A 26,139-nucleotide genomic window follows, 5' to 3' on the forward strand; every position below is an offset into this window, starting at 1 on the left:
GCCTGTAATCCCAGCTACTTGGGAGGCTGAGGCAGGAGAATCGCTTGAAACTGGAAGGCAGCGGTTGCAGTGAGCAGAGGTTGTGCCACTGCACTTCAGCCTGGGCAACAAGAGTGAAACTCCGCCTCAAAATCAATCAACCAATCACAGCTCCTGAAATTAAAGGAAGCATAGGTAGCAAGAGTTAATCAACACTCTTATCAGATAAGGGCCCTCTGCTGGCACTACATTTATTCCATCCTTGGATCACTTGGCTCAAGTTTCCAAGTCCTCATAAGTCAGTCCAATCTGCTGAGCTCGGGCCACATACCCACCTGGTGGCTTGGAGTGAGCAGTGCAGAATGCCCTGAGAGTCTTAGCACAGGTGCACACATTGGGGGAAGAGTTAAGTGGAAATTCTCTCTCTCCAAAAGAAGGGGGGAAAAAAGAGGTAGTGTGGTCAAAAGAGAAAATGTCCACCACAGTTTTCATCCTTCCTGATTTCTTTGTGGTTTTCACACCAGATGTAACTCCTGTGATGGTTAATTCTATGTGTCAACATGACTGGCCAAGGGGCACCCAGATTAAACGTTGTGTCTGAGTGTGTCTGCGAGGGTGTTTCCAGATGAGGTTAGCATTTGAATTGGTGAATTCAGTAAAGCAGGTTGGCCGCCTCAATGTGTGTGGGCATCATCCAATCTGTTGGGAGCCTGAACAGAACAAGAAGTGGAGGAAGGAGGAATTCTTCCATTTTTTGTTTCCTGCTTGCCTGCTTGAGCTGGTACATTGGTCTTCTGACCTTGGACTGGGAATCACACCCATATATATACACATATACATACACATGCACACCCATATATATATATATACATACGCACACCCATATATTTACACATATACATATGCACACCCATATATATACACATATACATACACACGCACACCCATATATATACACATACGCACACCCATATATATACACATATACATACACACCCATATATACACATACACACGCACACCCATATATATACACATACACGCACACCCATATATATACACATACACGCACACCCATATATATACACATACGCACACCTATATATACACATATACATACACGCACACCCATATATATACACATATACATACACACGCACACCCATATATACACATATACATACACACGCACACCCATATATACACACACACGCACACTCATATACACACACATACACACGCACACCCATATATATACGTATATACATACACACGCACACCCATATATATACACATATACATACACATGCACACCCATATATATACATATACACACTCGCACACCCATATATATACACATATACATACGCACACCCATATATACACATATACATACACTCGCACACCCATATATACACACATATACATACACACGCACACCCATATATATACACACATACACACGCACACCCATATATATACACATATACATACACGCACACCCATATACACACACACACACACACACACACACTGTATTGGTTCTGGTTCTCTGGAAAACCCTAACATGACTCCTTTCTTATGGAAAGTCTCTCTTCCCACTCAATCCTACTTTCCTACCGACCTCACTAACTATTCCTTCTCCATCTCTGTTTTTTTTTCTCTGTTCTTGGCTTTCTTTTCTTGTTTCATTGTTTTCCATCTACTTGTCATTTCAAGGGCCATCTGTATGCCTATGACTCTCTCAATCTGTATTCTTTTTTATTTTAAAACTTTTTTTGCTTTTGCTTTTTTTCTCTTCTTTATTTCTGAATGATCAATCTGTATCTTTACAGATGCAACATATTCAACAGCTGGTGTCCCTTGGATGGCCCACCAGCACCCCACTGCCCCACTTCCACCCTCTTGCTCTCCCTTCCTCTGCCTTCTTCATTTCCATGAACGGCATCACAATCCACTCACCCAGTCATCCAAGCCACAGACTCTCTCCAAATACATTCAGTCATCAAATTCTGCAGACTGAGGCATGGTGAGGCAGTTCACCCCTGTAATTCCAGCATTTTGGAAGGCTGAGGTGGGTGGGTCGCTTGAGCCTAGGACTTTGAGACCAGCCTGGGCAAAATAGGGAGACCCTGACTCTTAAAAAAAAGAAAACAGTCTGCAGATTGTGCTTCCTTAATTTCACTCAAATGTCTCCTCTCCTTTATATTCCCATTGCTATTGTCTTGCTTCAAGTTCTCTTCATCTTATCTAGGGTGTAGTCTCCCAACCGGAGTCCACATCTTCAATTTTACACCATTTCAATCCATCTTCCACACTGTTCCCAGAGAGAGATTTCTGAAAAAACAAATATGACCAGATTTATCTCCCTCGTTAAAGCCCTTTATAACTTCTGCTGTCTACAGGATAAAGTGCAAACTCCCTCACATGGGACCAAAGCCCTATATAAACCAACCCCTCCCTACTTTTCCAGATTTGTCTCTATTCAGATCTACCTCACACCGTAAGTATCAGCTTGGCTATTTCCGTGAACTTTGCCCATGTTGCCCTTCCCCTGAAATCGGCTTCCCTCCGATGTTCTCTCTGTCTCTCTTTTTTTTTTTTAAATTAGAGATGGGGTCTTGCTCTGTCACCCAGGCCGGAGTGTAGTGGTGTGACCATAGCTCACTGTAACTTCAGACTCCTGGGTTCAAGCAATCCACCTGCCTCTGCTTCTCAAGTAGCTAGGACTACAGCTGTGTACCACTCCACTAGCTAATTTGTTAAAAAATTTTCATAGAGATGGGGTCATGCTATGTTGCCCTGACTAGTCTCTAGCTCCTGGGCTCAAGCAATCTTCCTGCCTCAGCCTCCCAAAGCTCTGGAATTACAGGTGTGAGCCACCACACCTAGCCATCTACCATGTTCTTTTTTGTTGTTGTTGTTGAGACGGAGTCTCACTCTGTTACCCAGGCTGGAGTGCAGCGGCGCGATCTCGGCTCACTGCAAGCTCCGCCTCCCGGGTTCATGCCATTCTCCTGCCTCAGCCTCCCGAGTAGCTGGGACTACAGGCACCTGCCACCATGCTCGGCTAATTTTTTTGTATTTTTAGTAGAGACGGGGTTTCACCGTGTTAGCCAGGATGGTCTCGATCTCCTGACCTCGTGATCCGCCTGCCTCGGCCTCCCAAAGTGCTGGGATTACAGGCGTGAGCCACCGTGCCCGGCCCATGTTCTTATAATACTTTTAAGCTCAACTCAAAGCCACCTCCTCTCTAAAGCCTTTCCCAGTTGTCACCTCTGTCTCTCAAAGGTAGAACTGACCACTCCCTCCTTTGGGTTCACACTTGACCCCCGTACCTGTTTACCTGGCAGTCTCTCCCATCTAGTCTGTCATACTCTCAACAACCAAAATGGTGTTTCACTCATCTTTGCATTCCCAATACCTGTCATAGTATCCAGCACTTAAAATGCTTAGTAAATGAGTACAGAAGTGAATTTGTGACTAGAGTGGGTAGAGAAAGTCTACACACTCAGCCGAGGAAACTCAGGGAAAACAGAGTCACTCTGTTTAGAACCAGCTGGGGCTATCTCGAGCCACAGTGTATGCCAGTGACTCTCCACTCTGCTTGCACAGTAGAATTGCCTGGAGGGTATTTAGAAAATATGGATGGTGGGGTCCTAAAAAAAGCCAGTTAAATCAGAATCTTTAGGGGTGGGCCTAGACATGGGTGTTTTTTAGAGACTCCTCCAAGATTCTAGTGTGCAGTCAGAATCAAGAACCACTGGTGCAGAGCATTCCTGAAATGACTGCAGACAGACTACAGGGGAATGAGAGCAGACTCCTACGGTGTGGCTGAGCAGAATGCCCAGGTGGCAAATAGCTCCTCCTCCAAGGGAAAAGCATGAGCATCACTGGTCTATGACACAGGCACAGCCTTGTAATCAATGATGAGGAATGCCTTCAAGAGCGACGCCAGATGGTAGCACTTGAATATTTTATGACTCAGCTCCAAGGAAGTTTGTTGAGAGGAAATACAGGTTGAGCATTCCTAGTCTGAAAAATCTGAAATTAAAAATGCTCCAAAATCCAAAACTTTTTTAGCACTGACATGGCACAAAAGTGGGAAATTCCACACTTGTCCTCATGTGACAGGTCACAGTTAAAACACAGGTGTAGAACACACAGTTGATTCAGAATGCCTCCTCAGCCCCAGAGGACCCACATCCTGGTCTTTCAACTGCTTCTGATGTTTCTTCTCACCTAAAAAAAAAAAAATACAAAAATACAGGGTACAGTGTGCAGTAGCCTTTTTTTTTTTTGAGACAAGTTTTTGCTCTGTCACCCAGGCTGGAATGCAGCAGCACTATCACGGCTCACTACAGCCTCGAACTCCTGGGCCCAAGAGATCCTCCCACCTTAGCCTCCAGAGTAGCTGAGACTACATGTGTGGCCACCATGCCCGGCTAATTTTTTAAATATTTTGTAGAGACAGGGCCTCGCTATGTTGCTCAAGCTGGTCTCAAACTCCTGACCTCAGGTGATCCACCCACCTCGGCCTCCCAAAGTGCTGGGATTACAGGCATGAGCCACCACGCCTAGCCATGCAATAACCTTTTAATCAAAACAGCATTGTAGTGGATACTAAAAGCCTACCATCGTTTGTTGTTGTTTCCAGCTATTCAGGTATTCTGATGGTGCTACTGTGCTGCTTACTTAACCTTTACTCATTATTTTTTTCACTAAAATTTTTCCCGTTTTTTCATTAACAGCATGTCATATTTTTTACTATTACACACTTATGTTTGAATTAAGTATAAAAAAATGATTGCTCATCAGTAGCACATAAATTCAGTCAGGAATGATGGTGATGCCAAACAACTACAGACTGTCCACATGGGTGGCTAACATAGTGACACTTATGCTTTCTGATGGATCAATGTACTCAAGCTTTCTTTCAGGCACAACATTATGCAAAATATTACATAAAATTGTCTTCAGGCTATGTTAATAAGGTTATATAAAACATAAATGAGTCGGGCATGGTGGCTCACGGCTGTAATCCCAGAACGTTGGGAGGCTGAGGTGGGCGGGTCACCTGAGGTCAGGAGTTCGAGATTAGCCTGGCCAACATGGTGAAACCCCGTCTCTAATAAAAATACAAAAATTAGCTGGGTGTGATGGCGCATGCCTGCAGTCCCAGCTACTCGGGAGGCTGAGGCAGGAGAATCGCTTGAACCCAGGAGGTGGAGGTTGCAGAGAGCCAAGATGGTGCCATTGCACTCCAGCCTGGATGACAAGAGCGAGACTCCATCTCAAAAAATATATATATAAATAAAAATAAATGAATTTCATGTTTAGACTTGAGTTCCATCCCCAAGATATCTCGTTACATATATGCAAATATTCCAGGATCCAAAAAAAAAAAAAAAAAATTGAAATCCGTAACACTTCTAGTCCCAAGCATTTTAGATAAAGGATACTCAACCTATACTTACAGAGATGCAAACCTTCCTCCTTCTCAAGGAAAATGCTGCAGGAGAGATTTTGGGAGCCCTTTAGTTCACTGACAAGGAAAGGGAAATAATGTAAAGAATTTTAGAATCCTACTCTGTTTGGATTCTTTTGACTGTAACAGAAACAAAGGAAAAAGCTTAAGCAACTCTATATTTCAAGATTAAAATTCAATATGGTTTCAGGCATAGTTGGATCCAGGACAGAAATATGTCATAAGGGAACTTCCTTTGTTTCTCCATCTCTTGGTTCCACTTTTCTGTGTGTTGGTTTCAGTTTCCCGTAAGGTTAATTCATGTGGCAGCAAAAATAGCCACCAGCAGCTATAGGCCCATCCCATCCTTACATGTACCTAGCAGTCCAGTGAACAGAAAGTATCTCTTTTCAGTTGCTACAGAATCCCAGAGATGTCTCTATGTAGCCCAATCACATCATATTCTTATCCCTGAACCTGTGGCTAGGGGGATGCAATTCTCTCTTGTGCCTACTTCCAGGACCATAAGGGTGGAGTCAGTTTCATCTGAACCACATAGATTAAGAATGCGGGGTGGCACTGTTCTCCAAAGAGATGCTAAATAGGAAGAGAGAAGTCTATTTCATATGGTTCAGCTGGTACACCCTCTTGTGATTATGATCCTGTTATAGTTACAATTCTTTGGTTACAATCCAAAGAATCTGACTCTGGATAATAAGGAAAAAAATACCATAAGATATTGGTTCACTCACATAATCAAAGGGAAAGGTAAAAAATTGGGCCTTGAAATGATCAGGAACCAGGGATACTCTGAAGAAAGAGTAATGATGGATCTTCAACCACTTGCAGTCATCATTCGAGATTCAGATTCTATAGAGACAAAAATCTGATTGGCCTATATCCAAGGAGGAGGGAGCAGGCAGGTGGAATCGGGTTTGACGGTTCCATCTGTGCAAGAATCAAAAGAATGAGAGAGGGGTAGTTTTCCTAAGCATAAGCAAGATGCTGTTCCTGGAAGGTGGAAAGGATGTTGGGCAGTAAAAAACAAAAGCTGTTCAACTACACACCCAAATGGTCCCTGTCCCCCTCTCACTCTGCTCTCAAACCTCAGAGGCCAGAGCAAGTAAGGATTCAATAAAGACCAAGCCAACTTTCTGCAATTTTGCTTCCTATATTAGCTAAAAGTATCCAATGTGTTTGCAGTAAAATGTTCTAGCTTGGATCTGAAATCCCAAACATTGAATAACAATTACAGAAGTTTTCTAATGTAGCTCTGTTACTGAGACTAGTAAATGCATGCTTCTGCACAAAGACCTGATCCGCTTGGAAGAGGGTCATCTTTTCCAGTATCAACCACTTGGAGAAGCAAAGGGCAGGACTCAGGAAAAATCTCTTAACTGATTATCTGAATGTAGAGGATCTCGCTGTAACAGTGCAGGAAATGAATTGGAGCAGGTCAAGACTGAAGAAGATGGGAGGCAGGGAGACCGGTGGGGTTGTAGGTGGTATGCAGCAGTCTGCGGTATAGATATGCCACTACAGGTTTTACCAGCTTGCTAGTTATATTAAGTTCACAATCAAATAATGCTGCAGTGGTGTGGTCACAGCTCAGTGGAGCCTCAGCGTCTCAGGTTCAAGAGATCCTCCCACTGCAGCCTCTAGAGTAGCTGGGACTACAGGCATCCACCACCACGCTTGGCTAGTTTTTAAATTTTTTATAGAGACAGGGTTTCACTGTGTTACCCAGGCTGGTCTTGAACTCTTTGACTCAAGTAATCCTCCTGCCTCGGCTTCCCAAAGTGCTAGGATTACAGGTGTGAGCCACCACACCTGGCCCACATTTCTAATTATGACTGATACTATTAAATTGCCCTACATAGAGATTCTACCAATTTACACTGCCAACGAAGAAAGCCCACTGGCCTAGATCAATGGTTCTCCAACTTTAGTGTTCATCAGAATCACATGGAGGTCTTGTTAAAACACAGAGTGGTGAGCCCCAGGTCCAAAGTTTCTGATTCAGAAGGTGAGATGTGGGACCTAAGAATCTGCACTTCTAAAAAGTTTCCAGATGTAGGTTGAAAATCACTGCAATAGATCAACTTGGCTTCCACCACTTCATAGACCTGTTCTCCCCAAGTCAGTAAGTTCCTCTTCAGTTCTGTGGGCTTTTCTCCACCTCCATTTTGCTTAACTTTTCTGCTACATTTTAGATGTTTGTCTTTTTTTCTTTTCTTTCTTTCTTTTCTTCCTTTTTCTTTCTTTTCTTCCTTTTCTTTTTCTTTCCTTTTCTTTCTTCTCTTTTTTCCCTCCCTCCCTCCCTTCTCCCTCTTTCTTTCTCTCTCCCTTCCTTCCCTCCCTCCCTCTTTCTTTCTTACTCCCCCTCCCCCTTCCTCCTTCTCTTCTCTTCTGTTCTCTTCTCTCTTCTCACTTGGTCCTGTTTTCTTTCCTTGGCTCTCCTGTCCCTTAATGGACTTGGGCTTCATTTATTAGCCCACAGCTTTTCACCCAGAAGGAAAGCTCATTTCTTCTCAAGACTAAAAATATAAAGAGAATGTAAAGGCTGATGGGCAGGGTGGCAGGCGCCTGTAATCCCAGCTACTCGGGAGGCTGAGGCAGGAGAATTGCTTGAACCCGGGAGGCCGAGGTTGCAGTGAGCCAAGATTGCACCACTGCACTGCAGCCTGGGTGACAGAGCGAGACTTCATCTCAAAAAAATAAATAAATAAACAAACAAATAAAAAGAATGTAAAGGCTGAAGCCATCTTTTGATCCTAACAGGAGAGTCTGCATTGCTAAGACAGAAACCAGATCCTGATGACACTATTTGAACCCTCTCTATTCAGCCATACCTGATGCCAGCCTTACTTTTACGTGTCTGGTGACCGTGCAAGACTCCATCTCAAAAAAAAAAAAAAATAGTAGTATTGCTGTTGCTTTGACTGTAAATATTATTCAATGATGAGCCAAGGAATTTATGACTGTTTTCTTTCCTTATTTGGGTTGTTGTTTTGGGGTTTTTTGGTTTTGTTTTTGCTTTTCCTGGTGTTAGTGATTGCTTTTCTTTTTTTAAATATTTAAATATTTTTAAATCTCTGCATATCTATCCAACTATTTTTTAAAATTTGTGAAATGCTCAATATTATTCTCAAAAGATCAAACATATCATAATTTATAGATTTTATTTTTGTTGTTAAGACTTCTTTTCTTACTGATACTCTGTTTTTGTTTGTTTTGAGATGGAGTCTCGCTCTGTCACCCAGGCTGGAGTGCAGTGGTGTGATCTCAGCTCACTGCAACCTCTGCCTCCTGGGTTCAGGCGATTCTCCTGCCTCAGCCTCCTGAGTAGCTGGGACTACACGCACATGCCACCACACCCAGCTAATTGTTGTATTTTTAGTAGAGTCCGAGTTTCACCATATTGGCCAGGCTGCTCGCAAACTCCTGACCCTGTGATCTGCCCACCTCGGCCTCCCAAAGTGCTGGGATTACAGGCATGAGCCACTGTGCCCAGCCTACTCTGTTATTTTTTTATCTGCCAGTTGCTGGTAAGTTCCAGGGTAGAGTGATAAACTGGCAAAACAAACTTTTTATTTCTGGACTCCAAATAGCACCATAAAAAAAGGTTATTTTCTGGGACCATTGAGTCTCTTGAAAGAATACTCCAGTATCTGCTTAGGAGTTATTCCAAGAGCAGGGCTGGAGAAAAATTGGAGGATGAGGAGCCACTATTCAGCATACAGACTTTTGTTTAATCTGCTTCGTTTAAGCACTGTGCTTTACTTCCAATTTCCAAAGTACCATATACCTCCAAGTTTTGAACCTCTCCTTCACTCAAGGACCTTCTACCTTGCAAAAATACATCTACCTTGTAGGTTTGTAACTTTATTCCTTTGTTTTATTTCAATGAGTGTTTTGGAAGGGAGATAAGTACATGCGGTCAATTCGTCGTGCTTTTACAGACTATTTTTCTCAAACTTGTTTAACTCAGGAATTAGTCTTGCAGGGTCTAATTTTCATAAAGTCATTTATTTTTGCATCTCACTCCATGCTTCTCAGTTGCATTTCCTTCTTATGAAGTATATATCTATATATATCTATATATATCTATATCTATCTTTTGGAGTTTAGAGTGAGGGTATATGAGTAGAAAACTCCTCATTTTTGTCAGTTTCTTCAACAGCTTTATGGTTTATTATAAGGTGGACATCCTTGTAATCACTTCCTAAACCAAGAAAATCGAACTTTGTCAGCCACACCAGAAGCCTGTCCATGTGCTCCATCCCAATCACAAACTCCTTTCACCCCCATCACTACCCTGACTTTTTAAATAACCACTTCTTTTTGCATTTAAGTATATCCCTAGACATTATAGTCTTGCTCATTAATTTAATGTCTTTTATGCCTCCTTTAAGCTATAGGTTCTATTTCTTCCCCCCCCCCCACTTATAATATATATATTGAATAACCCAGTTGTTTACTTTGCAGGGTTCCCCATGGTCTGGATTTTGCAGATTGCACACTCATGGCATATTTCAATATGCTCCTTTGTCCTCTATTTCTGTAAACTGGCAGTTGGATCAAGAAGCTTGAGCACACTCAGGTTTAATCCCTTTGGTAAAACTACACGTTACTATGAATTTATATATTTAAACATATACGATGGGTTTCAGTCCATTCTAATTATTACCTTTATTGAAACTCAAATTGTCCTATCCATGGCCAATAGGAGCCTCTTCTAGTTGGCTGGGTCCTTTGGACATGACTCCAGAAGTCTTTAATCATTTCTCTGCTCTCTAGTATAATAAGATATTTCGTGCTCATTCCATACATTTCCTGCCCTAAACCTAGAACCCCTTGTTTCTTTTAGTGGGACTTGGCATTTCATACTATATATCTATATATCTATATACATATAGATATATGTATATAGTCATGTGCTGCATAACGACATTTTGGTCAACAATGAATGTCATATACCACTGTGATCCCACAAGATTATAACAGAGCTGAAAAATTCCTATTGCCTAATGACATCTTTATTTCATTTTATTTTGAGACAGGGTCTTGCTCTGTCACCTAGGCTGGAGTACAGTGTCGCAATCACTTAGTGACATTTTGATGATCCTGACCCTGTGTAGTCCTAGGCTAATGTGTGTTTGTGTCTTCATTTGTAACAAAAAAAGCTTAAAAAGTAAAAAAAAATAATAATTATCAAAAACTTTAAAAATAAAAAGCTTATAGAATAAGGATACAAAGAATATTTTTGTACAGTTGTACAATGTGTTTGCGTTTTAAGCCAAGTGTTATTACAAAAGAGTTGAAAAGTTTTTAAAAAATCAAAAACTTTATAAGGTAAAATGTTGCAATAAACTAAAGGTAATTTATTATGGAAGAAAAAAAATTTTAAATAAATTTAGTGTAGCCTAAGTGTACAGTTTTGTATCAAGTCTTCAGTAGTGTGCAGTGATGTCCAAGGCCTTCACATTCACTCACCACTGACTCACCCACGGCAACTTCCAGTCCTGCAGGCCCCATTTATGGTAAGTGCCCTACACAGGTGTATCATTTTTAACCCTTTATACTGTATTTTTACTGTATTCTCTATGTTTTGATATATTTAGATGTACAAATACCACTGTGTTACAACTGCCTGCAGTAATCAGTACATTAATATGCTGTACAGGTTTGTAGCCTGGGAGCAATAGGCTATACCATATAGCCTAGGTATATAGTAGGCTGTACCATATAGGTATGTGTAAGTAGTACAGTCTATGGTGTTCCCATAAGGACAAAGTCGCCTAATGATGCATTTCTTAGAACATATCCCTGTTGTTAAGTGATTCATGACTCTGAGAGTGTGTGTGTGTGTGTGTGTGTGTGTGTGTGTGTGTGTAATGTTAGGACACATATATATATGTATTTCAGAAAAAAATTTTTTTGAATTATAATGTGTTATAATTAGTTCTGTTACCTGTCTTGGGTTTTCTTTATCAAGAACTTCTAATCTATATGTTGGATCTTCTTTGCCTATTTTCAATATTTATCATTTCTCTCAAATTATTTCTGTTTACATTTATTTTTGATTAAAAAACTCATTTTCAAATTGTAGTTCTTTTCAGACACTATTGTATTTTCTTATTCTTTTATTCCTTGTATTTTAGTCCTCTTTTCTGAAATCAGTTTTTCTTTTATTTCTAACTCTTTCCCAAGTTCTGTTACTTCATTCCTGAGTTTTTCTTCTGGCTTGTTTTGCTGTTTCATGTTTCATATCATTTTATATCTTTACAGTGACACTGTGCCAGGTGTTACAGAAACAGTGGTATTCAAAACAAAGTCCATGTCTCCAATAATCATATTTCACTCATTCCAAGCCACATTTATTTCTTTGTTTCTGTTTCTCTTTCTTCCCTCACCCCAACTTGGAATGCTTGTTTAAACATTAAAATTTTCTCATAGTTGATTTTAAAATGAAATCTGTAAGGGTAAACTTTTCTAGCTATAGGCTACCATAATCTTTCCCTTATTTTGAATTCTTGAATAAGTTTTCAGTTTTCTTGACAGTCTGTCCCTTGAACCTAGATCATTAGCTTTTTAAGGAAAAAAATTATGGCTTTTTATATCTCCCAGAATAAAGCCAACAATGACTCTGGGGCTGGGCGTGGTGGCTCACACCTGTAATCTCAGTACTTTGGGAGGACAAGGCGGGTGGACTGCTTGAGCTCAGGAGTTTGGGACCAGCCTGGGCAACACAGTGAGACCCCCATCTCTACAAAAAATGAAAAAAATGAGCCGGGGGCAGTGGCACGTGCCTGTAGTCCCAGTCACTCGGGCTGAGGTGGGAGGATAGTTTGAACCTGGGAGGTCAAAGCTACAGTGAGGAGTGCCTACACTGCTGCACTCCAGCCTAGGTGACAGAGTGAGACCCTGTCTTTAAAAAAACAAAGAAAGAAAAAAAAAAAGAATGACCCTGGGCATTGTTGGAACTCAGAAAACCATACCCCAAAATGAAGACCTCAGAAGCAAAAGATTTTTCCCACCTTCTCCAACCCTCCTGTCTCAATCCCATTCTTCCCCCCACCCCCACCCACAAGGCTAGTCATAGAAACTGGAATCCGTCTTTCCCAAAGCAGGGCATAGAAACCAAAACCCCACCCTTTCCCAAAGCCAGCCACAAACCTAAAAATATTACTCTAACCTCCCTGCACCCCTTTCTGTGCAAATATTGGACATAGAGAAATTATCTGGCAGAGCGCAGTGGCTCACGCCTGTAATCCCAGCACTTTGGGAGGCCGAGGCGGGTGGATCACCTGAGGTCAGGAGTTCAAGACCAGCCTGGCCAACATGGTGAAACCCCGTCTCAACTAAAAATACAAAAAAAATTAGCTGGGCGTGATGGCGGGCGCTTGTAATCCCAGCTACTTCGGGAGGCTAAGACAGGAGAATCACTTGAACCTGGGAGGGGGAGGTTGCAGTGAGCCGAGATCGCACCATCGCACTCCAGCCTGGGCGACAAGAGCAAAACTCTGTCAAAAAAAAAAAAAGAAGGAAAAGAAAAATTATCTGACCTACCTTGTTTAACTGTTGTAGGCCACAGCCCCCATTCCAGAGGGTCCTGTTCCATACCCAGAAGGAATGAATGCTGCAGACAGGCCAAGGAGAATCCAGATAGGCCTTGCTGGGTTTCTTGCCTGTTTGCATCAGAGTGTTTTTTGTCCAGTCATTTTTTTTGAGACGGAGTCTCGCTCTGTCGCCCAGGCTGGAGTGCGGTGACGCAATCTCGGCTCACTGCAAGCTCCGCCTCCCGGGTTCACGCCATTCTCCTGCCTCAGCCTCCTGAGTAGCTGGGACTACAGGCGCCCGCCACCACGCCTGGCTAATTTTTAGTATTTTTAGTAGAGACGGGGTTTCACTGTGTTAGCCAGGATGGTCTCGATCTCCTGACCTTGTGATCCGCCCGCCTCAGCCTCCCAAAGTGCTGAGATTACAGGCGTGAGCCACCGCGCCCGGCCTTGTCCAGTCATTTTTTTATACGGCTGTCCATGCTTTGTTGAACCTAAGCATACAAATACACGATTTCCCTTGTTATCTTTGGGTCTTCATTCTGAAGGCTCCCGTGTCACATAAAACGATGGTCAAATCAATGTCTATGTCTTTTCTCCTATTAACTGCCTCCTGTCAGTGACTTTCAGCGAAACTTCAGAAGGTGAAGCGGAAGTTTTCCTTTGGCCCGGACAGCATCATCATTAATATCATTAATAAATATTCCCACAGTATTTGGCCCTTGTATGTCCTTTGTATGGTGCTGGGGATACAATAACATATCGCTGCAGAGATTTTCAAATGTAAAAGAAGAGAGATTATACTGATTTAAAAGCTAGATTCTGTCCTCACCCTGGAGCTAGTCTGCATTTACGAAAACTTACTTTCCACTGCGGTAGACAGACGCTTTCTACTCCAGCGCAACTGTGCCTTTCCTCAAATCTAGTCTCAAATTTAGGTTCCTTTTCATTTTCTGTTATGGAAAGGCCCTCAGCGTATCCCAGGCTTTGGAGCCTTTTGTTAGTAGTCTGGCCCATGCATAATTTCCCCTTCCTCTGAATTATACATAGCACCTCACTAGTTATATTTTAATACACTTTCCTATGTCTCAGTGGTAGTTTCCTATATTAATATATATCCCAGTTTAGTTTGGCTTTTAATTTCTTTTCTTCTAAGGGGATAGATGCGTTCTGTACCACCTTCTCGAGTACTAATGGTTAACTGGAATGAACACAAGCAACAAACCCTCCGGCCTGGATCCCAAAACAACAGTCGCGGTTCTGCAACAGAAAAGGCTGCGCTGGCCCTGGGACCTGTCTCGGAAATACTCCTCATCCATCTAGTTTCTCCCAGGACAACTAGGCCCAACCCCACGGGAATATACAGAGAGGCCTCGGGTCACAGACTTAAAGCTGTAAAAGGGAGGAGGCGACGGTCTGGTCCCAGTCACCGACCAGCCACCGACTACTAGGGCCCGAACCCGGGACTGCAGACGCACCTCCCCGCCCTCCCTTCCCAGCTCCGCCTGGCGGCGGGCGTTGCTCCTGAGGGGCGGGGCTTCCGCTTCCGGCGGGGGATTGTTGACGCCTGCGGTTGCTGCGGTGGTGACGGGGCTGTTGGGGAGGGGCCATTGGGGGAGGGAAACGGAGCAGTGACAGGTATCCCAGAGGGTGCTGCTGAGGCGACGATGGCCGAGGGGCCCGAGGAAGCCCGAGGCCACCCTCCCGGGCAGGACGATGGCGGAGGGGACCACGAGCCCGTCCCTTCCCTGAGAGGCCCTCCTACCACCGCCGTCCCATGCCCCCGCGACGACCCCCAGGCCGAACCCCAGGCCCCGGGCCGGCCCACAGCCCCGGGCCTCGCGGCTGCCGCCGCAGCCGACAAATTGGAGCCGCCGCGCGAGCTCAGGAAGCGCGGGGAGGCGGCCTCCGGCTCCGGTGCAGAGCTGCAGGAGCAGGCGGGCTGCGAGGCGCCCGAAGCCGCGGCGCCACGAGAGAGACCAGCTCGGCTGAGCGCCCGCGAGTACTCCCGGCAAGTGCACGAGTGGCTGTGGCAGTCCTACTGCGGCTACCTCACCTGGCACAGCGGCCTGGCCGCCTTCCCAGCCTACTGCAGCCCCCAGCCCTCCCCGCAGAGCTTCCCTTCGGGCGGCGCTGCAGTCCCCCAGGCCGCGGCGCCGCCGCCCCCGCAGCTGGGCTATTACAACCCCTTCTACTTCCTGAGCCCCGGGGCCGCGGGGCCTGACCCGCGGACAGCTGCCGGCATCAGCACCCCTGCTCCAGTCGCGGGCCTGGGACCCCGGGCTCCTCACGTGCAGGCGTCGGTCCGGGCCACTCCAGTGACGAGGGTAGGATCCGCAGCCCCTTCGCGAAGCCCGAGCGAGACCGGGCGACAGGCAGGTGAGAAGCGCGAGGTGGAGGCTGGGCGGAGTAGAAGGGTTTTCGGGGGCCTGTGGGGTAGAGCTGGCACGCTTTTTAGACCTGTAACTGCTGCTTCTACTCTGATTGACTATCCTGCCCGTTCAGTTCACTAGCTATCGTTTGTCCAGGCCCTAAATTCCCAAAATGTACAAGGAGGCAATACAGTTTCTTCTTCCTTTAGACCTGGCACTCCAAATTGACTCCCTTACTCATGGGACTAGTTGTTTATTCGTGAAAAGAAATTGCTCTTCAAACCATCCTCTTCCTTTGGTTTTCACGCTCTGCAGTGAGGGCCAAAGCTAAATTCGCAAATGGCAAACCCACTTTTGGAGGGGCTCGACTGGTAATGCTGAAAATTATTCAGACATTGGCTACTTAGGACAGTGGAACTGAACGGATATAAAAGGAGATCGACATGGATACAAGTGGAGTTAGGAAGTTTTGATTGGGTCAAAGCTTCACTTCATTTGATCAATATCTTGTATATTGTGTAATTGTTTTTGCTTCTGTGTGTGAACTAGAATATTTTGAATTAGTTACACTTCTTAGTTTACTATTTAAACTATTAGACTTTTAGTTTATTTTAGTTAGCCACAGATAGATGGGACAAGAACTAGTTGATGCCTCTGATCCCAGTCAGAATTTAGGATGACAGATTGATACTCACTGGGTTTATTTTAAAGAAAGCAAAACAAACTAAAAAACGGGTGGGGGGGGATTACAGGGATTTACTTTATACTAATTGCCAATATTTAACCTTGATTTGTACTAAAAAATGTTTAATTTTGTGTGACTTAGATGTGATCACCTGGATTCTCCTCATTAGAATTCCTAGTGAAATGTAGTGGGTACCCTAATCAAATTTATCTGTGAAATCAGTTTTCTAGGGGGAAAGTGGGGAGGGTGGGGACAAGGTCTGCTTCTATCGCCCAGCCTGGATAGTGCAGTGGCGATCTTGGCTCCCTGCAGCCTCCGCCTCCCAGGTTCAAGCCGTCCTGCCACCTCAGCTTCCCTAGTAGCTGGGACTAAAGGCATGCGCCACCACGCCCGGCTAATTTTTGTATTTTTTGTTGAGACGGGGTTTCGCCATGTTGGCCAGGGCCAGACTGGTCTCGAACTCCTGGCCTCAAGCAATCTGCCCGCCTCGGCCTCCTAAAGTGCTGGGATTACAGACGTGAGTCACTGCACCTGGCCGTGTGAAATCAATTTTTAAACGTTAAGGTGATGAAAGCAAACTTTAAGCTCAGTAAATAGTGGATTCTCTGTTACTCTATTTTAGTAACATGGATTCTTGGTGGAATCAATATCAATAGTTGCTGCACGGTTATAAATATTTTTTATTAAGTTGTACCTTGACTTTCTTTAGCAATTCATTACATGGCTTGTGTTCCAAGGCTTATGTGAAATGATTCGTTTTTCCTAACTTTTTTTTTTTTTTAATTTACAGGCAGAGAATATGTTATTCCATCCTTGGCCCACAGATTTATGGCAGAGATGGTGGATTTCTTTATTCTCTTCTTTATAAAAGCAACCATTGTCTTAAGCATTATGCACCTCAGTGGGATAAAGTAAGTTGAGGACATTTGCAGAAGGGTTTTAATTTCTACTGTTTAATGATCTTGTTTTATTACATTCTGTTTGTCTACACGTGACTATATGGATAATGGGCTTGTCAGTGTCATGATTTCTTTATAAGAGCTTTGTTAGATTTATTGTTTTCTTGTTGATTTTAAGAAATAACTAGAAAGGAAAAAAAATAGCTTACTGAATTCTATAAGATGTGTGGGAATCTCACCTATCAAAAATAGGTAAAAAGAGCCTCCAAACCTGCTTTGATTTTATTCACCTATTCTTTTAGGCCAGGAACTAATTTACCTCTCACTATCCTGTTCCCTCTTGCTATCTTGTGGAGTCTCTAAAGACAAAGGTATAAAGAGCTTTTGGTAGGTGAATTAATAATCAACTAGATGGCATTTCCAAATGGGATTGCACATACTGTGGGGCAAGTCCCAAGTGAACTTCAAAGTGAGACGTTTATTTGAGTAATCCTTCCAGATTAACAATAATCATAATAGCAGTTACCACTTCCTGAGTACTTTCTATATGCCATGTATTGAGCTTGCTCACTTCTTTATGTGGATTCTTATTTAATCTTAATACCAAGATGAGGTGTAGAGATTAATACCACCATTTTATAGAGTTTGAAATTTGGGTTTATGAAAAGTTGAGCACAGAACCTAAAATGTTACAAAGGTAGTAAGTGACAGAGTCAAGATACAAGCCTGTGCAGTCAAATTTCAGGGTCCTTGCCAGAAACCTGTTACTGTGATTCCTCCCTGTCCCTCCCTCTCACTCCACTCCACATCCAGTGAAATACCAACTCCTTTATGTTCAATTTTCTGAATAGCTTTCAACCCCAGACCTCCTCACTGCCAGATCATTTTTCTTTTTTTGAGACAGAGTCTTGCTCTGTCACCCAGGCTGGAGTGCAGTAGTACAATTATGGCTCACTGCAGCCTTGATCTCCTGTGCCCAAGTGACACTCCCACCTCAGCCTCACAAGGAGCTGGGACCACAGGCATGCTCCACCATGCCTAGCTAATTAAAAAAAAAAATTGTTTTTTGTAGAGATGGGGTCTCCCTATGTTGCCCAGGCTGGTCTCAAACTCCTGGGCTCAAATGATCCTCCTGCCTTAGCTTCCCAAAGTGCTGAGATTACAAGCATGAGCCACCACACCTGGCCCATTTTTTATCATCATTGCTTCTCCCTACTCCGATTACTGTCGTCTCTTGCTTGGATTATAGCAGAAGCCTTCTAGTGGTAACTCAGTCTCCTGTTTTATCTCAATCCAGTCTCTGATATAAAACCAAAGTGATCATAAATCCTGGTTCTGTTCCTTTCCTACCTTAAAACCCTTCAATGGTTTCTCTTTTTAAAATGTTTATTGTTTTTTTAGAGATGGGGTCTGTGTTGCCCAGGTTGCTTTCAAAATCCTAGGCTCAGGCGATCCTCCCACCTCAGCCTCCCAAAGTGCTGGGATTACATGCGTGAGCCACCATGCTCAGCCCCTTCAATGGTTTCTCTTTACCAGCAGGATAAAGTCTGAATTTCATCATGTGGTTTATACTCAGGAGGCTGTCTCAACCTCCCAAGTAGGTGGGACTGCAGGTGCATACCACCACACCCTGCCTTTATTTCTTAATCACTGCCACCTCTCACATTTAGTATATGAGCCACACCAAACTGCTTACAGCTTCTATCATATTCTCTCTTTCTCCAAGACATTCTCTCCTGCTGTTCCCTCTTTCTGGAACGTTATTTCCTCTTCTTAGTCTGGCTAACTTCTCTTCATCCTTCAGAGCCTCATCTAACTGTCTTTTCTGGGAAACCTTCACAAGGTTAAGTGTATCTGGTGTATGTTTCCATAGTATCCTAGGTTCCCCATCACAGCACTCATCCCACTTTATTATTGCTATTTATTTATTGTTCTGTTTTCTTTGCTAGGTTAGACCCTCCACGAAAGCAGGGACCGTGTAAATTCATTCACCCTTATTTCCCCCGTGCTAGTACAGTGTCTGCTCATGATAATGCTGCTTATTTGTTGAATAAACTAATGAATGCTTTATGATACTAGATGGTTGGGAATCTAAAGATTAGTTTAGAATTTCAATTAAAATGTATGACTTGCACTAATGAAAAAAAAGTCAGTGCTACTGTTCTGGTAACTAATTATTTATAACCCCAAACTATTATTTTGTGTAGGGATATCTCTAAGTTTGCTATGCATTATATAATAGAAGAAATAGATGAAGACACATCAATGGAAGACTTGCAGAAAATGATGGTTGTGGCACTTATATACAGATTATTAGTTTGTTTCTATGAGGTAAGCTACTGACTTCAGCAAGAATTAATATTTAACAATCTAATTTTATGTTTTTACATTTATTTTTTTGAGACAGAGTCTCGCTCTGTCACCCAGGCTGGAGTGCAGTGGTGTGATCTTGGCTCACTGCAACCTCTGCCTCCTGAGTTCAAGTGATTCTCCTGTCTCAGCCTCCTGAGTAGGTGGGACTACAGGTGCATACCACCACACCTGGCTAATTTTTGTATTTTTAGTAGAGACAGGGTTTTGCCATGTAGGCCAGGCTGGTCTCAAACTCCTGGCCTCAGTGATCTGCCCACCTTGGCCTCCCAAAGTGCTGGGATTACAGGCATGAGCCACTGCACCTAGCCAACAATCTAATTTTAGATTATCAGCCCAAGACGAAAAAGTAATCGAAATTTATAATTATTCATGTCTTTTCCACATGTCTACTTTTCTGTTTTTTTTCCCAAATTTTAACTAATCATTAAGTAAAAACTTTTGGAAGAGAGACATTTTACAATTTCTTTGTAATATTTTTCAGTCTTAGAAACTCAAATAAAATTTCACTTATAGATTGTGGTCCAAAAATATACTTGTAAATTGCAATGTAGTTTTCTGCAGAAGCAGCTTACTAGAAAGTATAGTAGTCATAGAGAAATATTACAGGAGACAGACATCTTGTGGTATTGGACATGTTAGAGACCTACAGAAATGCATAAAGTTAAATGGTTAACTTTTGAGTATTCTATGCAATTCTTTCAACTTGAAAAATTTAAAACATGAAATAATATGGTGGGAAAAGTTTATCTTTAAAATTGGTATAGTTGAGCCAGTAATTTTTAAATCATCCTTCTTTCCTTAGATAATTTGCATTTGGGGAGCAGGTGGAGCTACCCCAGGGAAGTTCCTGCTGGGGCTTCGAGTTGTGACATGTGATACATCAGTGCTTATTGCACCAAGTCGGGTTTTAGTGATTCCTTCCTCAAATGTTAGCATTACAACGTAAGTCCTTTTCTTAGCTTAATCTACTACATACTTAATGAAAATAATGTGTTTTAGAATATTGGGGTTTTTTTCTTCATAGTAGATAGGCTTATATTTATTAAGTTAAAACAAAGTTTGAATATTTATTTCAGTTGTGTTACATGATTGTAGACCTCTTTTACAGTACACATTTTCAAGATGATTTTTTTTTTTTTTTTTTTGTGAGACGGAGTCTCACTCTGTTGCCCAGGCTGGAGTGCAGTGGCACAGTCTCGGCTCACTGCAGGCTCCGCCTCCCAGGTTCACGCCATTCTCCTGCCTCAGCCTCCCGAGTAGGTGGGACTACAGGTGCCCGCCACCACGCCCGGCTAATTTTTTGTATTTTTAGTAGGGACGGGGTTTCACCGTGTTAACCAGGATGGTCTTGATCTCCTGACCTCATGATCCACCCGCCTCCGCCTCTCAAAGTGTTGGGATTACAGACGTGAGCCACCATGCCCTGCCTCAAGATGATCATTTTATGAATTATAAGTCACAATACGAGAGGATGATTTGGGTGTTGATGGTGTATTAGTGCTCCACAATCAGCTTTATTATTCTTTGGACCTGTGGATGTTAGGTCAGGTACTAGTCTGCCTTGAGTCTCCATTTGGCCATGCCTGTCATTATTCCATCTTGAATAGGCAGCAGAGTTTTGACAGCTATGCATTCGTGCATCCTTCTCCTGCTGTTAGGTGAGAGCTTGTAATACTGCCAGTATTCAAGGTTAGCTGTTGGCATCTAGCGCTGGGGGAAGGTACAACCAGTGATAATGGAAACTGTGGAGGTCAGTGGCTGGTAGTCAGTTGAGCCAAACAAGGTATTGGCTGCAATTTTTGCCAGAATGATTCAGAGCTGGATTGTTACATCAAGAAATATAAACAAGTGATTCTAGAAACCTTGGTTTTGCCATCTTCAAATTTTTCTTAAAATTTGGTAGTTATAGCCGGGCACAGTGGCTCACGCCTGTAATCCCAGCACTTTGTGAGGCTGAGGTGGGCAGATCACGAGGTCAGGAGATCGAGACCATCCTGGCTAACATGGTGAAACCCCGTCTCTACTAAAAATACAAAAAATTAGCCGGGCGTGGTGGCGGGCCCTGTAGTCCCAGCTACTCAGGAGGCTGAGGCAGGAGAATGGCATGAACCCGGGAGGCAGAGCTTGCAGTGAGCTGAGATTGCACCACTGCACTCCAACCTGGGCGACAGAGCAAGACTCCATCTCAAAAAAAAAAAAAAACAAAACAAAACTGGTAGTTATAAACCTACCTACTTCTTTTAATAAGAGTCAGTAATGGCTAATGTTTATTGAGTACTTTTTATATACCTGCACTGTTAATAACACTGCATATGTATTAATTTAATGCTAACAACCTCATAAGATAGAGACTATTGATCTATATCTATAGTATCATAAGATACTATAGGTAGTCTCTATCTATATACTATAGGTAGTATCTATATACTATAGGTAGTATCTATATACTATCTATAGTATCATAAGATAGATACTATTGTTCCCTTTTTGCAGATGTGGAATACAACTAGTAATTGGTAGACGATGGATCTGAATTTAACTAGTCTGGATTCAGAACCCACACTCCTAGCCACTGTACTTTTCTGCAGCCCTTCAGTGCACTAAAAGGCAGAAATCTAACATAAGTAGGATAATTCTCCATCCTGAGTGATTGTTGAAAGCTTTTAAAAGCTTTGCTTAATCACTGGATCCCACAAAGGAAAATGCTGATTAAAGAACACACAGTACTTTAAAATGCATGTTTTTTCTATAAGGTAGACAAATGGGACTACAGTAAGCATACTCAGAAAGTACTCAGAATTAATGTTCATTTCTTCTGAGAAAATACTAGAAAGCTCTGTAAACCATTAATTCAATATTCTGAGACATGTTTATTACTGCTTTTTATGTTGTTGAAGTCTTATTAGAAATAGCCCAGGTGGTTTGATCATGATACAGTGCTACTTGAAAATATATCAAAGGTAAAAATTCTCTCAACTATACCTTGAATGTCTTTTTCCCTGTAGACTTCTGTAGAGAAGTACAATTGTGTTTTAAATGTCTATTTTGAACTTGATGGGATACCATTAATCTATATGTGGTTTGATGTGTAACTTACCTGATATTTTTGTTTTAACTTTTTAGGTCCACTATCCGAGCTTTGATCAAGAATTTTTCAATTGCTTCTTTTTTCCCTGCTTTCATCACACTGCTGTTTTTTCAGCATAATCGAACAGCTTATGACATTGTAGCAGGAACCATTGTGGTAAAAAGAAATGGGGTCAGATGATGCCCCCCAAAACCCTGATTTCCACACACTAAGACTAAATTATGTATCAAGGCCATCAGTATCCCTGGGTTACACTAATTGATGATTTAGAAATTAAAGCAGTCACTCCAGTGTGATGCAGGTGACTACTCTGAAAGTATTGATTATACTTGAATGCCAAAGAACTTGTCCAGAAGAAAAACCTGTTAAATTCAAGTATTAAAATTTTTAGATCAAAAAGGCAAATGATTTTATAAACAATGGACAATATATACTTTCTTAAGATCTAAGGTACTTTCTTAAGATCTAAGAATTTGCTGAAAGCATTTTCAGCTTTGAAATCTCCAAATGAAACTTTAAAATTTATTTTGGTTTATCCCAAAATAATGGAAAATGTCCAGTTGTGTTTTGTAAACACCTATGTAACTCATCTTTTAGTTTACACTTCCTGGGGAAATTGTCTTTGGTGTTTAGAGGAGGGAATGAGAACACAAATTGGATAATCCACTGTCTCCCATCCCAGGAGGTGGTGAGTTGGCTACAAGAGAAAGGGACAAGTGAGGCAGGCCTAGCAGTTCCCTTACCTGAAGTTTTCAAATCCATACTGCAGTTCCCTCTCGTAATGATGTAACTTTACAACTATTCTTAATGCTTGAACATGTATTTAGGGGCAAGTTTCTCATGATGATGAAAAAGTATCAAGTCATATTGCTATGTTAATTGGTTTTTTTTTTTAAAAGGTAAGTTAGTGATTACTGTTAATGGTGGGGGAGTAAGTTTTCACTGTAAATTGAACTTATAATTTATGTGCAAGTGTTTTCAGTGCCCTGAATCAAACTATAAATGTGGGGAGAAATCACCTCCATCAAACAGTTGCATATTTACTGTAAAAGTATTCCCAGTATGTGTGCAGCATGAAGAAAGTATTAGTGCTTCTCAGTGTTCTCAGTGTAAATTCTATTTATATACAGCATATTCACATACTACTTTCCTTATATTTTATATAGTTCTATGACTGTTGAAACATCAAGGAGTTAAAAAAATCTTAATATTTCATGATTAACTCTAAGTACTATTAATTAATAGCTTGCGAAATATTAGCAATTTTCCCATTATGGACTATTCTCTCTAAAGCAAGAGAGACTAGCATTCCCAGACATCATTCTAGGGTCTTTAAGCTCATTTTGGGTCTGCTAAAGTTTGGGGGGAAATGTTACGCAAAGTGATACTGTGTATGTTGCCATTTTGCTTTATTCTTCTGTTGAAGCAAAATTGTGGGGTTTTATTATGTGTGTGTGCTTTTCCTAGATGTCCCAGTTAGCTGTGCTGAGATATACCTGTACTATTTATGGTTTAAGTTTTGATTCTTAGGTATTTTCTCCAGCTCTGACATTGTTTTCCAAAGACACACTAAACTGCATTGCACAGTTCAAAATTTGATTACTTAAGGGATCAATCTAGGTGGTGTTCTTGGTCTTAAATTTAACAGCAAACACAGCACATATCTATTATCACTATATTAATTTTCAAAGGTTTTTCTTTGACGTTTAAAACTGTGACAACAGATATTCACATTTGATTATAGAAACTTAATGTCTATTAATAATTTTAGTACAAAATTTCATAAACCGTGTTTTTCAAAATAAGTTTATGTCAAATCCAGCTTCCCAGAAACACTAATAATTAAGTACATCAATGTACTAAATAAATCATTCAGTTGCACCCATGGGGAAGATTGTGTTACTGCCCTTCACAGTGAAAAAAAGAAAAATCTTTCATTTTTAAAATTAGGAGATGTTACGTAACTTGGCACTTTAGTAGTGTATACACTAGCATTAGTTTATACACCACTTTTGCCGCTGGGGAATTCAAGTTGAAATGTCCCTCAATCATATAGGTCTGGAATACATCTTTCATTCATAATTTCTGCTCAGATAATTGAATAGTTTGCCATCGAGATTATTTTCATTTATACTATAAAACAAAAGCAAACTAGTCCAGTTTAATTTTTTGTACTTAGAATATTGCACATTTTCTATATATGAGTTATTCAGATTAGTATCTATGTAGGTTCAGTCAGATCCAACCATGGATTCGAGGTATTATACTGTATAACCCTACAAAATACATAGAAGTATTATTTGCCTTCATAATAGAACCCAAGAGTCTGTTTCAATTTATGAATTCAGTATTTGCACCGAGATTTTGATTCCCAAAGTTTGGAAAAAAATGACAAAACAACGAGGGAAGAAGGAACCAGACCTTAGTGCCACATATTTTTCTCTTGGGGTTGTAAGGTAGTCTCCTGCTTTCCAGAACACTTTATTATATTTCACTTATAGACCTGATTTTCTGTGTCAAAGTATAATTCTCATGCTGAAGCTGTAGCCTAAAAAGCCAAAAGAAAGTTGTCTTCATTGTACAAACATATTCATCACTTTAACAATAAGGGAACAAAATTTAGTATTCAAGCTGAGTGAGAATACTGTTTCAATGAGCATGTCCCTAAGATAAACCAGAATTGGCAGTTAATTTAGGCGTCTAGAAAATCTCAGTTCCCACCAGTAAAATTATCCTGAGTAGCTAATGCACCTTGAGAAAAATCTGGCATACTGAATAAATAACATTAACTTGGGAGCCAAGAGCTGGGTAAGCCTTACCTTTAGACTACTCTGTGACTACAGAAATAAAGCCAGCACTTTTGGAACTAATAAGCCTTCACTTGTCAGTATCATAAAGAGTATTGCCCAACTGAACTTTGCTCCCACTGGTTTAATAGTTACTTATTTCTGCCTAAGCACTCACCTTCCGATTTTACCCAAGTATATATATAGGATAGAAAAAAATGCATTATATTTGAGAGCTACTTCGCCCAAATTACAAAATGAGTGTTTTTAGATTCAAGTGACAGTAAAAGGATTTGTTCCCTTCAGTGACTTGAGTGTTTTAGTTATGCATAAGTATTTCTAGCAAAGGAAGGGTAGAAAGGAATTGAAAATTAATTTACACTAGTTGCTACTTGGGAATAAAGGGCTTTTTGAGGGGGGTATGGATATTAAATGTTTTCGTTATATACTTATCCCTATTAAAACAGGCAGTTGTTTCTTTGAATATGCCTAAATAACAGTATTCTTAAAATCTGACAGACAAGTAACATGTCAATTACTTGATATTCCTTGTCTCCAGTACCACAGGCCACTCTTGACATCCCATGTTTGCCTGGATAAAGTTCCTCATTTCAAACAGTATACATACTTCTTTGCAGTTCATTATAGTAAGGCTTAACCTGTAAACAGTATCTGATGGCCCACCTATAAATAAAATTCAGCATTCTATTTTTAATAATTTGTATGCCACCAATTTGTATTATTTGTCTCAATAAATACTTAGTCATCAATGCATCTGTATTTTGTCTATTTCTTTGAGACAGTTTGCTCTAGAATCTGCTTAGGGAGACCTTGCCTCCAAATACAGGTTTTCCAGTGGGTTTAGCAGTAAACTAGAATGCTTTCAGAAATAGAGATCTATGAAAAAAGAATCGCCCATCTTTAAGGA

General features: G+C 41.5%; 1 protein-coding gene and 1 long non-coding RNA gene across 5 annotated transcripts, besides 4 other annotated features; one reads left to right on the top strand and one right to left on the bottom strand.

Annotated features, from left to right (window-relative positions):
* Positions 1-56: 56 nt before the first annotated feature.
* On the bottom strand, positions 57-13,242 carry LOC102724591 (uncharacterized). 4 transcript variants are annotated; one of them, XR_007059482.1, is made up of 6 exons: positions 13,019-13,242; positions 6,199-6,316; positions 5,457-5,524; positions 4,070-4,221; positions 1,942-2,316; positions 57-153 (listed from the first exon to the last, which is right to left on the bottom strand). It is a non-coding gene; the product is annotated as an uncharacterized LOC102724591 (long non-coding RNA). The 4 variants fall into 4 exon arrangements; XR_007059483.1 differs by lacking the exon at positions 6,199-6,316 and adding an exon at positions 10,137-10,242; XR_007059484.1 differs by lacking the exon at positions 6,199-6,316 and having other exon boundaries at positions 5,457-5,491.
* Positions 14,427-14,906: a silencer, noted in NCBI's record as "silent region_16964". NCBI's record gives its function as "represses an Ori minimal core promoter by ATAC-STARR-seq in GM12878 lymphoblastoid cells {active_cell/tissue: GM12878}" and the evidence as "EXISTENCE:reporter gene assay evidence [ECO:0000049][PMID:35858748]".
* FAM8A1 (family with sequence similarity 8 member A1) lies at positions 14,568-25,981 on the top strand. Its single transcript, NM_016255.3, has 5 exons — positions 14,568-15,387; positions 16,856-16,976; positions 19,172-19,295; positions 20,140-20,279; positions 22,461-25,981. The coding sequence occupies exons 1-5, from the start codon at positions 14,676-14,678 to the stop codon at positions 22,603-22,605; spliced, it is 1,242 nt and encodes a 413-aa protein (NP_057339.1). The 5' UTR covers positions 14,568-14,675; the 3' UTR covers positions 22,606-25,981.
* Positions 15,973-16,473: an enhancer, noted in NCBI's record as "H3K4me1 hESC enhancer chr6:17601938-17602438 (GRCh37/hg19 assembly coordinates)". NCBI's record gives its function as "activates a minimal SCP1, AML or CMV promoter by ChIP-STARR-seq in naive H9 embryonic stem cells {active_cell/tissue: H9 hESC(naive)}" and the evidence as "EXISTENCE:reporter gene assay evidence [ECO:0000049][PMID:30033119]".
* Positions 16,474-16,974: an enhancer, noted in NCBI's record as "H3K4me1 hESC enhancer chr6:17602439-17602939 (GRCh37/hg19 assembly coordinates)". NCBI's record gives its function as "activates a minimal SCP1, AML or CMV promoter by ChIP-STARR-seq in naive H9 embryonic stem cells {active_cell/tissue: H9 hESC(naive)}" and the evidence as "EXISTENCE:reporter gene assay evidence [ECO:0000049][PMID:30033119]".
* Positions 24,890-25,090: a silencer, noted in NCBI's record as "peak5701 fragment used in MPRA reporter construct". NCBI's record gives its function as "represses an SCP1 promoter by STARR-seq MPRAs in K562 erythroleukemia cells {active_cell/tissue: K562}" and the evidence as "EXISTENCE:reporter gene assay evidence [ECO:0000049][PMID:32103011]".
* Positions 25,982-26,139: the final 158 nt, after the last annotated feature.

This window comes from Homo sapiens, chromosome 6, assembly GCF_000001405.40.
Source record: "Homo sapiens chromosome 6, GRCh38.p14 Primary Assembly".
NCBI lineage: Eukaryota > Metazoa > Chordata > Mammalia > Primates > Hominidae > Homo > Homo sapiens.

Coding starts and splice junctions, on each gene's coding strand:
- FAM8A1 (NM_016255.3), top strand. CDS start 14,676: ATGGCCGAGGGGCCCGAGGAAGCCCGAGGCCACCCTCCCGGGCAGGAC. Junction 16,977..19,171: donor ATGCACCTCAGTGGGATAAA/GTAAGTTGAGGA, acceptor TATTTTGTGTAG/GGATATCTCTAAGTTTGCTA. Junction 20,280..22,460: donor TCAAATGTTAGCATTACAAC/GTAAGTCCTTTT, acceptor TTAACTTTTTAG/GTCCACTATCCGAGCTTTGA.